Raw genomic sequence first — 12120 nt, forward strand, 5'->3', positions numbered from 1 at the left:
CCCACTGTTGAGACCTACTTCTCAGAAAAAAAGATTCCTTTCAAAATATTACTGCTCATTGACAAGGCACCTAAGAGCTCTGGTGGAGATGTATATAAGGAGGTTAAGGTTTATGTGCTTGCTAACACAACATTCATTTTTCAGCCCATGGACCAATAAGTAATTTCAACTTTTGTCTTATTAAGAAATACATTTCATAAGGCTATAGCTGCCATAAATAGTGATTCCTGTGATGGATCTGGGCAAAGTAAATCGAAAACTGTCTGGAAAGAATTTACCATTTTAAATGCCAATAGGAACATTCATTATTCATGGTAGGAATTCAAAATGTCAACATTAACAGGTGTTTGGAAGAAGTTGTTTTCAACCCCCATAGATAACTTTGAGAGGTTCAAGACTTCAGTGGGGGAAGTAACTGCAGATGTGGTGGAATTAGCAAGAGAGCTAGAATTAGAAGTGGAGTCTGAAGATGTGACTGAATTGTTGCAATCTCATGATAAAACTGTAAGAGATGAGGAGTTGCTTCTTATGAATGAGCAAAGAAAGTGGTTTAATAAGATGAAATCTACTCTTGGTGAAGATACTGTGAATGTTATTGAAATATTACATCCACTTCATTGATAAGACAGCAGTAGACCTTGAGAGGACTGACTCCAGATTTGGAAGAAGTTCTATTTACTGTAGGTAAAATGCTATCAAACAGCACTGCATGCCATGGAGAAATCTTTCATGAAAGGAAGGGTCAATTAATGCAGCAAACCTCATTGTCTTATTTTCAGAAATTGCCACAGCCACCCCAGCCTTCAGCAATCACCGCCCTGATCAGTCAGCAGTCATCAACATCGAGGCAAGGCTCTCCACCAGCAAAAAGATTATCACTTGCTGAAGCCTCAGATGATTGTTAGCATTTTTTAGCAATAAAGTATTTGAAAATTAGGGTATATACATTTTTTTTTAGACATAGTGCTATTGCACACTTACTAGACTACATTATAGTGTAAACATAACTTTTTTTTATTATTATACTTTAAGTTCTAGGGTACATGTGCACAACGTGTAGGTTTGTTACATATGTATACATGTGCCATGTTGGTGTGCTGCACCCATTAACTCATCATTTACATTAGGTATATCTCCTAATGCTATCCCTCCCCCCTTCTCCCACCCCATGACAGGCCCCAGTGTGTGGTGTTCCCCACCCTGTGTCCAAGTGTTCTCATTGTTCAATTCCCACCTATGAGTGAGAACATGCGGTGTTTGGTTTTCTGTCCTTGCGATAATTTGCTCAGAATGATGGTTTCCAGCTTCATCCATGTCCCTACAAAGGACATGAACTCATCCTTTTTTATGGCTGCATAGTATTCCATGGTGTATATGCGCCACATTTTCTTAATCCAGTCTATCATTGATGGACATTTGGGTTGAGTGTAAACATAACTTTTACATGGACTGAGAAACTAAAATTCATGTGACTTGCTTTCTTGTGATATTCACTTTATTGTGCTGGTATGGAACCAAACCTGCACTATCTCTGAGGTATGCCTGTATAAAGCAGGGAGCTGAGGTCCATTCTAAGCATCAGGAGACATTTTCCAGAAGAGTCATTCAAACTGAGATCTGGCTGAGCAGAAGTGAAATGTGCGAAGAGGGTAGCAATGTCCCCAGATAACAAAGGTTGTGCATTCTTTAACGAGTAGAAGGGGTGCAAGAGAGCTGGAGCACAGAGGATTGATGTGGGAGGGACAAGGGATAGTGATATAGTTTGGATGTTTGTCCCATCCAAATCTCATGGTGAAATGTGATTCTGAATGTTGAAGGTGGGGCCTGGTGGGAGGTAATTGGGTCCTGGGGCAGATCCCATGATTTGGCACCATCCTTTTGGTGGTAAGTGAGCTCTCACTCAGTTAGTTCATGTGAGATCTGGTTGTTTTAAAGTCTAGGACCTCCCCCCACACCTTGCTTCCACTCTCGCCATGTGACATGCCTTCTCCCCCTTTGCCTTCCACCATGACTGTAAGCATCCTGAGGCCCTCACCAGAAGAGGACACTGGTACCACACTTCCTGTACAGCCTGCAGAACTGTGAGCCAAAATGAAACTATTTTCTTTATAAATTACCCAGCCTCAGGTATTTCTTCATGGCAATGTAAGAATGTGCTAACACAGATGGGCTGCTGTAGGGCTTGTGCATTAAGACCAAGATTTTGGTTTTTATCTATCTTAAGAGTGATGAGAAATCAGTGGGGAGTTTGATTTAATATGGGATAATCACCATCACAACATGATATGATGGTGGTGATGATAATGGTGAAGAGGAGGATGATGATGGTGATGATGGTAGTGATGATGGTGCTGATGATAGTGATGTAATGATGGTGATGATGGTGCTGACAGTGATGATGGAGTTGATGATAGTGATGGTGATGATGATAATGATGGTGGTGATGGTGCTGATGATAGTGATGATGGTGTTGATGATAATGATGGTAATGAAGTGCTAATGATAGTGATGATGATGATGATGTTGACAGTGATGATGGTGCTGATGATAGTGATGATGATAATAGTGATGGATGGTGCTGATGAAGATAGTGATGATAATGATGGTGGTAATAACAAAAGTGGTGGTGATGATATGGCTGCTACGGTTTGGACGTGTTTCTTAAAGTTCATGTATTGGAAACTTAATCCCTAATGCAACAGTGTTGAGAGGTGAGACCTCTAAGTGGTGATTAGGTAATGGGGGCTCTTTCTTCATGAATGAATTAATGGTGTTATAATGGAAGTGAAAGTGGGTTAGTTATCTTGGGAGTGGGTTCTTGATAAAAGGATGAGTTTGGCCTCCTTCCCTTCTCTTTCTCACATGTGCTGTCTTGCCCTTCCACCTTCCATCATGGCATGACGAGCAAGAAGACCCTCACAAGACACTGGCACCTTGAACTTGAACTTCACAGCCTCAAAAACTGTAAGAAATAAATCTCTGTTTTTTATAAATTACCCAGTCTCAGGTATTCTGTTATAGTAGCATTAAACAGATCATGACAATGGTGATGGTGATGGTGGTAATGTGATGATGGTGATGGTGATGATGATGAGATAAGGGTGAGGGTGATGGTAATAGTGATGAAGACATGAAGATAATAAAGATATGTTGACTGATATTGATGGAGACTATGATAATGATGAAGAGTCCAGTACCAATGCCAGCCAGGAAGGTAGAGGTAGAAAGATCATCCAGGGAACAGATGGAGCGAGGATGGAAATAACACAGGATTTGGAGTGAGACATGCCTATTCTCTGCCACTTATTTGCTAGGTGGCCTTGGGAAAATTAATTGGCCTCATATGCATGTCAATTTCCTGATCCTCATCAGGGTTCTGGAGGATGAAAGGAAATGTAAAATGGTACCCAGAATTTGCCACGTCAGTTCTTTGTGTATTACCTCTGCCACACATGCATGTACCCAGGTGCAATGATGAGGGCCCGGGGGCGGGGGGGCTGGAGATTTTCTCTGCTCCTGCAGCTAGGTCAGGTGACATGGCCAGTTGCTGAGGGACATTGCATTGCTGCCAGGAAACCAAGAACCCCTGTTTAGATAATCCTTTTCAACCTGGCTGCCAGCTGCCTTTGGGAGCTGCTGTGTGATGGGAGGCCCAGCTGGGAGTCTCAGTCACCTCTGCCAGTGCCCACTGCCCACCCTCTGACTCCCCGAGCCTTGACCTGACACCACGGTGAGTAACTCCTGTCCTGCTGCCACCATTGGGGGCCATAGCAACAGGGTCTGCATGTCTCAGGAAAGAGAGCTTTTTTTTTTTTTTTTTTTTTTTTTTTATGGAGTTTTGCTCTTCTTGCCCAGACTGGAGTGCAATGGTGTGATCTTGGCTCACTGCAACCTTCGCCTCCTGGGTTCAAGAGATTCTCCTGCCTCAGCCTCCTGAGTAGCTGGGATTACAGGCATGTGCCACCACGCCCAGCTAATTTTTGTATTTTTAGTAGAGACAGGGTTTCTCCATGTTGATCAGGCTGGTTTCAAACTCCTGACCTCAGGTGATCTGCCTGTCTCGGCCTCCCAAAGTGCAAAGTGCTGGGATTACAGGCGTGAGCCACCGCTCCCCGCCAAAAGATGGCTTCTTACTAACACTGAACTCTCTCAAAAGGTGACCTTAGGCAGGGCACTTAACCTCCCTGGGCTTCAGTTTCCCACAGAGCAGCATGTCATTTCTGTGAGTGTGCTCAGTGCCTGCACAGAAGGTGCTCCACGATGAGGCTGTGGGTGGTCACTGTTACCTCATCTCAGCCGGAGGACCCAGGAGCATGTCCATTCTGTGGTTTAAACATGTTTGCATTAGGCACGCCTACAGCCTCAGTTTACCTCCACCTTCCTAGAGGGCAGGGACACTCCAGCATCCCCAGGCTCTTGAAGGGCCACGGATGGCTGAGATTCAACTTCCAAAGTTATGTTCAGATTCACTAGCCTGTGCTGCACACCCACCCCGCGTCTGCACCCAAGGCCAGCAGGCCCGTCCTGACCCATAATGATTACAGGAACGGGGCAAAGGAGTTAAAGGCTGCAGGGTCCTAACCAGGGAGGCCAGCTCTGTGACCCCAGAGCTGGCACTGGGTGACCCCACATCTGGGGTTGATTACAGTGTAGAAACTAAGGGTGGTTCTGAGAAAGCCCATCTTCCCTTTCGGAGAAACCGCGATGCCATAGGGCGGACCCCGCCTCCCTGTCCCCGCGCCCTGGGCTGCACTCCCTAGGGCCCCGGACTGCATTTTCCCAGGAGGGCAGCCTGGATAGGGAACCTCGGCAAGTGAGACCAAACTGATGTTCCCTTAGGGGCAGCACCCGCTCGGTGCTCTGAGATTGTTGTATGGGCTATTTAATTCCTAAGATGATTCTCAGCAGGAGGCAGGCTCTGTATCATCCCAGCGGCTTTTTCACCTTGGGAGTTTCGCGCTTTCCGATTCCATGAAGTTGCTGCTTGTCACCCCGTCACCGGCTATAAGGATTTAGCTCACAACCACATTTTTACTGAGGGATTGTCATTTAACGAGTTTCCCTCTCCCAGGGAATCTGCATTCTAAGACCCCAAAGGCCGGCGAGGGTCGTTGTGCTGGGCTGGACAGCAGAGAGAGGCTCGGCCTTGGCCCTCAGCCCTGCAGCACACAGGGCACCCGCGCAGAGAGCGTGGCCTGCGAATGGCTCTGCTGCCTCTCCCGGCCTGGGGCCGATTAGACCGGTCAGAGCATCTGTAAAGTACAAGGGGCCCCTAGGGAGTGCAGGCCAGGGCAGCTGGGGCAGGGAGGCGGGGTCCGCCCCATGGCATCGCGGTTTCTCTGGAAGGGGTGATGGGCTTTCTCAGAACCACCTTTAGTTTCTGTACCGTAATCGGCCAAAAAGGCGCAGGCGCTGCTGCTCCTGGCAGCTGCGTAACAGGCTCTCAGAGGAGGACGCGGTTCCGGGCTGCGGCGGGCGTGGTCCGGGGCTGTTCTGGGCGTGGTCTTTGGCTGTGATGGGCGTGGCCTTGGGCTATGGAGGGCGTGGTCCCAGGGCTGCGATGATGGTGGTCCGGGGCTGTGGTGGGCGTGGCCCCGGGCTGCGGCGGGCGTGGTCCCCGGGCTGCGGCGGACGTGGTCAGGGGCGGTTCTGGGCGTGGTCCCTGGGCTGCGGTGGACGTGGTCTCGGGCTGTGACGAGCATGGTCCCTGGGCAGCAGTGGACGTGGTCTCACACCCAGAGTCTGAAATTTCTGCCTCTTCCTGGCCCTAAAAATATCCTGCCTGTTCCCACGCGGCTCCTGCCTTCTGGAGCAGTCTGCCAGGCCGGCGGTGGGTGTTGGGCAGGGGTCTCAGGCTGCCAGCAGCCAAGTGCAGCCCGTTCTGCAGTGATGACAGGGATCTGTGGGCAGAGGGGACCGAGCCTCGGAGGATGCTGTAGGTGGGAGAGCTAACATTGACTCAGCATTTACTTCAGGCTATGCACTGTGCTGAGTCCCTTACCTCTGGGCTTCCGCAACGTTTCCCTGAGGTCAGTGTGGTTGGCATTCGTGTTTCACAGATAAGGAAACTGGAACAAAGCTTTTCAAGGCCACGCAGCCAACACCTCGAGAGAGCGGGAGAGCTTGTTCACTTGAACTGGATCCCCAAACACCAACAGCCACCCTGGCCACTGGCTCTGACTGAGCTCACCCCACCCCCGACAAGCCAGGTGCCTGGGGAACCTGCCTTCCATTCCTCCCCACTAGCTCCTATGAGGTCTCTGCCTGCCAGGCCTCCTCCTCCCCAGAGGAAGGGACGTTTCTACCACACAGCGACCCCACAAGTCAGCTGAGATTTTGGGGGCACCGAATACTCACATGGAGCCCTGAGTGGAAGGGGTGTAGGAGTCACACTCACACGCATGCACAGGGTCACCCTGAGCTGGAGACCATACCCAAGGCTCTGTGAGGAAATGTGAGTGCGCCCAGGCCCCTCCAGCCTGGTCCAATTTGCTGAGCCTCTAGCTCGACAGAGGTCAGACCAGGTCTACAGCCCAGCGATCCTAGTTCCAGACAGCTGCTCCTTCCTTTCTAGGAGGGCAGCCCGGAATATAATCCAGTGTGGTGAGAATCCATTGCACACTCCCTGTGAGCCAAGCAGACAGGTTTGGGGGCCACTGAGATAGGGGACACTTCTGGAGGGGTCAGTGACTGCAAAATGGTGGCAGTGGGATGATCTGTTATGTCTACCCACGCACATGCAGCTGCACAGTTGCAGAGATGTGAATGCAGGAAGCCAGGTGTGAGTCTGAATTCACATTGGTTTTTTTATCTTTATTAAGCAGTCATTCCTAAGGCCTGCCCGAGCCTGGCATCTCTACAGAGGAGTGGTGCCATCAGGACCCCTGTGGGGCAGATCAACACTCAAGGCAGGTGCAGAATCAACAACCTGTGACAAAGCCAGCCATCCCTGCCAGGAAGCATGGGGGATGAGCTGGCACCTTGCCCTGTGGGCACTACAGCTTGGCCGGCCCTGATCCAGCTCATCAGCAAGACACCCTGCATGCCCCAAGCAGCCAGCAACACTTCCTTGGGCCTGGGGGACCTCAGGGTGCCCAGCTCCATGCTGTACTGGCTTTTCCTTCCCTCAAGCCTGCTGGCTGCAGCCACACTGGCTGTCAGCCCCCTGCTGCTGGTGACCATCCTGCGGAACCAACGGCTGCGACAGGAGCCCCACTACCTGCTCCCGGCTAACATCCTGCTCTCAGACCTGGCCTACATTCTCCTCCACATGCTCATCTCCTCCAGCAGCCTGGGTGGCTGGGAGCTGGGCCGCATGGCCTGTGGCATTCTCACTGATGCTGTCTTCGCCGCCTGCACCAGCACCATCCTGTCCTTCACCGCCATTGTGCTGCACACCTACCTGGCAGTCATCCATCCACTGCGCTACCTCTCCTTCATGTCCCATGGGGCTGCCTGGAAGGCAGTGGCCCTCATCTGGCTGGTGGCCTGCTGCTTCCCCACATTCCTTATTTGGCTCAGCAAGTGGCAGGATGCCCAGCTGGAGGAGCAAGGAGCTTCATACATCCTACCACCAAGCATGGGCACCCAGCCGGGATGTGGCCTCCTGGTCATTGTTACCTACACCTCCATTCTGTGCGTTCTGTTCCTCTGCACAGCTCTCATTGCCAACTGTTTCTGGAGGATCTATGCAGAGGCCAAGACTTCAGGCATCTGGGGGCAGGGCTATTCCCGGGCCAGGGGCACCCTGCTGATCCACTCAGTGCTGATCACATTGTACGTGAGCACAGGGGTGGTGTTCTCCCTGGACATGGTGCTGACCAGGTACCACCACATTGACTCTGGGACTCACACATGGCTCCTGGCAGCTAACAGTGAGGTACTCATGATGCTTCCCCGTGCCATGCTCACATACCTGTACCTGCTCCGCTACCGGCAGCTGTTGGGCATGGTCCGGGGCCACCTCCCATCCAGGAGGCACCAGGCCATCTTTACCATTTCCTAGAGTTCTTGAGTCCACAGTCTGGCAAGCTGAGGTTAAAAATCATATGTTGAATGCAGCAGTGTCCACTTATGACTAACTTCTTAGAACAGCACAATATAATAGTGGAATTGGGCCTTTCAGAAGACCTCAACTGATGATTTTCACCATTTTGACAGTTTTTAAGTAGAGAAAGCTCTCTTATGACACTGAAATCCTACTTGGAAACGGAAGCAAGTAAAGGCAATCAAGCAGGGCTCTGGTCTAAGTCAAGCCTTGATCTGCGTCCCTCCAATGGCTTGCTGCACACCCTCCCTGGCCACTGTGGATGCATCCTTGCTGACCAACACACAGAAGCCAAAATGTTGCTGACAGTGAGAACCACAGAGGTAAGCAAGCAGAGCTGCTGAGTCCTGGGACCATGAGCTCTATCTGAGCAGCCGCTCAGGATGTGGGAGGGAGGAAAGGAAGCCAACGATCCACAGCAGTGGAGAGTGTCATGGAGATACCACTATAAAGCTGGAGTGTGCAAGGGTTACACTCTCACAATAAAGGTAAATGATAACCTAACCTTACAGAAGGGGTCAGCAAGGGAGTTTGCCTGCCTTGACTTTCGTGCTGTGTAGAAGAAGAAAATTCCTCGAGAATTCTTAAGTAGAAGCCACTCTTCAGACAGTTTTAGAGCTAGGCTTCAAATTATGTTAGTGGTAAAAAGACCTCAGTCTGTGGTTGGTGTGGTTCTCCTGGACGATCTGAGCTTCACCTTAGGCTGCAGAGAATTTCCAGAGTCAAAGAACCTCAAATAATGGAGTTGCACATGGTCAAATCTCACAAAACCACATAGGGAGATAAGGCACCATGAATGAGAGCAAGAAGAAACAAGAAGACAGCAGCGTCATACCACAGCTCCTTGAATTATCAACACTGGGTTAATATAAAAATGTTCAAGATGTTTTAAGACATTAATAATGACATGAAAATATGAGCAGGGATAATACTTTTTTTTAAATAACCAAGAAAATTTGGAAAATATTTAAATAGAACTTCTTGAAACAAAAATATTAGAATTATGAGTTGAATTTAATATGGATTAAAGAGCATGTTAGACACAACTGGAAACAGACTCTGCAAATTGTGAGAGAGGTCCAGATAAATTACCTAAAATGCAGCCCAGAGGGACAAAGAGACAACCATATAAAAGAGAGATTAAGAGACATTGAGGTTGGGATGGAAAAGACTAACATACATTTAATTTGGGAACACAATACAGAAAATGTAGGAGGGGAAATATTTGAAGCGATAACAGCTGAGGATTTTTTCAGATTTGTTTAAAGATATCAAACTTCAGATCCGAGAAATCTAACCAATCATAAATAAGATAAATGACCAATAACCCACGTTGAAGCACATGATGCGAAACTGCAAACAGCTAAATACAAAGACAAGATATTTAAAGCAGGCAGAGATAAAAGACAAAAGAACATCAATTAAACTCACCTTGACTTCTCAAACAATGGAAGAGACCAGCCTGACCAACATGGTGAAACCCCGTCTCTACTAAAAATACAAAAAAAATTAGCCGGGCTTGGTGGCGGGCGCCTGTAGTCCCAGCTACTCCAGAGGCTGAGGCAGGAGAATGGCGTGAACCCGGGAGACGGAGCTTTCAGTGAGCCGCGATCACGCCACTGCACTCCAGCCTGGGCGACAGAGCAAGACTCCGTCTCAAAAAAAAAAAAAAAATAATAATTAGCCAGGCCTGGTGGCATGTGCTGTCAGCTACTTAGGAGGCTGAGGCAGGAGAATCGCTTGAACCCGGGAGGCGGAGGTTGCAGTGAGCCGAGATCACACCACTGCACTCCAGCCTGGGCGACAGAGCGAGACCCCATCTCAAAAAACAAACAAACAAACAAAAAACATGGAAGCCTTGGCAACTGGAATAATGTTGCCAATGTGCTGAGAAAATAACTGTCTTCCTAGAATTTTATATACAGAAAAACCTTTCCAGACCTTGATAGAACACAAAAGCTGAAAGACAGTATTCCTAGCAATACACATTAAGAAAACTTCAAGGGATGTATTTGTTGCAGAAGAAAAATTATTCCAGGTGGAAGGTTTGAGATGTATGAAGAAATAGAAAAGTCACTGGAGACTATGCACATAAATAGGAATAGTTATTGTCTAGTTGCCTACATAAAAGCAATAAAAATGTCTAATTTCGGCCCGGCATGGTGGCTCAATGCCTGTGATCCCAGCACTTTGGGAGGCCGGGGCGGGGCCCATCACCTGAGGTCGGGAGCTCAAGACCAGCCTGACCAACATGGAGAAACCCCGTTTCTACTAAAAATACAAAATTTTGTATTGGGATGGTGGCGCATGCCTGTAATCCCAGCTACTCGGGAAGCTGAGGCAGGAGACTCACTTGAACCCCGGAGGCGGAGGTTGCGGTGAGCCAAGGTTGTGCCATTGCACTCCAGCCTGGGCAACAGGAGTGAAACTCTGTCTCCAAAAAAAAAGTCTAATTTAACGGTTTAGAAAAAATGGAAAAAAAGAATTACATAACAGTGGTATATGTGTCAGAAAGGTGTAATTGTACTTAAAGCATTCTAAAGTCTAGCAGTCTTCAGGAGGAAGGTAGAGATATTAATCTAAGACTTTGTTAGGCATGCAAGTTGAAATGAGGTAACCACTAACAGACTAGACAAAACGAGGATCACTCTCTAAATAATCTAAGGAACAAATGAAATGAGTAAGAGAAAAGATCACTCAGCCAAAAGAAGGCAAGAAAAAATATATAGAAAAGTCAGGACAAATAGAAAGCATAAAGTAATATGATAGAATCCAAACAACTAATTCAAATCTACTAAAACAATAAATTTAAATGACTAAAATTTGATGGTGGGGAAACAATATTGTCCATTTACTTTTAAATTGGATATATGTTATTTATAAGAGATTATGCTAAACAAACAACAGAGAATGGGTGGAAGTAAAGCAATAGTTGGGAGTATAGAAAAAGACAGAAAGCCTTTCCTGGATCCTCCAATCAAAACTTAACTCAGGCTGGGTGCAGAGGCTCAAGCCTGCAATCCCAGCACTTTAGGAGGCAGAGGCGAGAGGATTACCTGAGGTTGGGAGTTCGAGACCAGACTGGCCAACATGGTGAAATCCCGTCTCTTCTAAAAATACAAAAATTAGCCAGGCATGGTAGAGGGCACCTATAATCCCAGCTACTCAGGAGGCTGAGGCAGAATTGCTTGAACCCGGAAGGTGGAGGTTGCAGTGAGCTGAGATCGCGACATTGTACTCCAGCCCAGGTGACACAGCGAGACTCCATCTCAAAAAAAAAGATAGAAACTCGCTAAATGAAAGCCAATAGAAGAGACAAAGCTGAATTTAAAGCAAAACAGCCTTACTAAAGAGGGTGACTACATGATAAGTTCCAATTTATCAAAGGAGATAAAATTAACATAATAAGATAATGAAAATTTATAAAGCAAACATTGACAAAATTTTGAGGGGAAATTAACAAACCAACTTTCATAGAGAAGTTTAAGAGTGCTCTCTCCCTAACTGGTAGAGCAAACAGACAAAATAAATAAGGATATTGAATATTGAACAACACAATTGACAAGTTTGACTTAGTGAATAAATTTAAAATATGGCACTTGACTATTGGAAAATACATAATATATATAAGTATGCCTGGAATTATTAAGAAAATTGACCACATGCGGAAGGCCGCAGGGTCCTCTGCCTAGGAAAACCAGAGACCTTTGTTCACTTGTTTGTCTGCTGACCTTCCCTCCACTATTGTCCTATGACCCTGCCAAATCCCCCTCTGCGAGAAACACCCAAGAATGATCAATTAAAAAAAAAAAGAAAACAAAAAAAAAAAAAAAGAAAATTGACCACATGCTACCCCCATAAAGCAAATCTAAGTAAGATTTCAAAGACCTGATTCCAATGCAGACTATATCATCTGGGTCCAGTGTAATTAAGTTAGAAATAAGTAACAAAAAGATAATTGAATAAAATATGCTTGGAAATGTAAAAGTCACATTCTAAGCAATTCATAGATCAAAGACTAATTAATTAAAAGCAGAAATCAGAAAATTGTTTAGAACTGGGTGATAATAAAA

At 47.1% G+C, this 12120-nt stretch overlaps 1 protein-coding gene across 1 annotated transcript, besides 4 other annotated features; it reads left to right on the forward strand.

The window, feature by feature from the left end:
• Positions 4602-5129: an enhancer, noted in NCBI's record as "H3K4me1 hESC enhancer chr2:131484365-131484892 (GRCh37/hg19 assembly coordinates)". NCBI's record gives its function as "activates a minimal SCP1, AML or CMV promoter by ChIP-STARR-seq in primed H9 embryonic stem cells {active_cell/tissue: H9 hESC(primed)}" and the evidence as "EXISTENCE:reporter gene assay evidence [ECO:0000049][PMID:30033119]".
• Positions 5451-6030: an enhancer, noted in NCBI's record as "H3K4me1 hESC enhancer chr2:131485214-131485793 (GRCh37/hg19 assembly coordinates)". NCBI's record gives its function as "activates a minimal SCP1, AML or CMV promoter by ChIP-STARR-seq in naive H9 embryonic stem cells {active_cell/tissue: H9 hESC(naive)}" and the evidence as "EXISTENCE:reporter gene assay evidence [ECO:0000049][PMID:30033119]".
• Positions 5513-5682: a silencer, noted in NCBI's record as "silent region_11961". NCBI's record gives its function as "represses an Ori minimal core promoter by ATAC-STARR-seq in GM12878 lymphoblastoid cells {active_cell/tissue: GM12878}" and the evidence as "EXISTENCE:reporter gene assay evidence [ECO:0000049][PMID:35858748]".
• Positions 6031-6609: an enhancer, noted in NCBI's record as "H3K4me1 hESC enhancer chr2:131485794-131486372 (GRCh37/hg19 assembly coordinates)". NCBI's record gives its function as "activates a minimal SCP1, AML or CMV promoter by ChIP-STARR-seq in naive H9 embryonic stem cells {active_cell/tissue: H9 hESC(naive)}" and the evidence as "EXISTENCE:reporter gene assay evidence [ECO:0000049][PMID:30033119]".
• On the forward strand, positions 6880-8146 carry GPR148 (G protein-coupled receptor 148). Its single transcript, NM_207364.2, has one exon. The coding sequence runs from the start codon at positions 6962-6964 to the stop codon at positions 8003-8005; it is 1044 nt and encodes a 347-aa protein (NP_997247.2). The 5' UTR covers positions 6880-6961; the 3' UTR covers positions 8006-8146.
• Positions 8147-12120: the final 3974 nt, after the last annotated feature.

The sequence above is a fragment of the Homo sapiens genome, chromosome 2, assembly GCF_000001405.40.
Source record: "Homo sapiens chromosome 2, GRCh38.p14 Primary Assembly".
In the NCBI taxonomy this organism is placed as follows: Eukaryota; Metazoa; Chordata; class Mammalia; order Primates; family Hominidae; genus Homo; species Homo sapiens.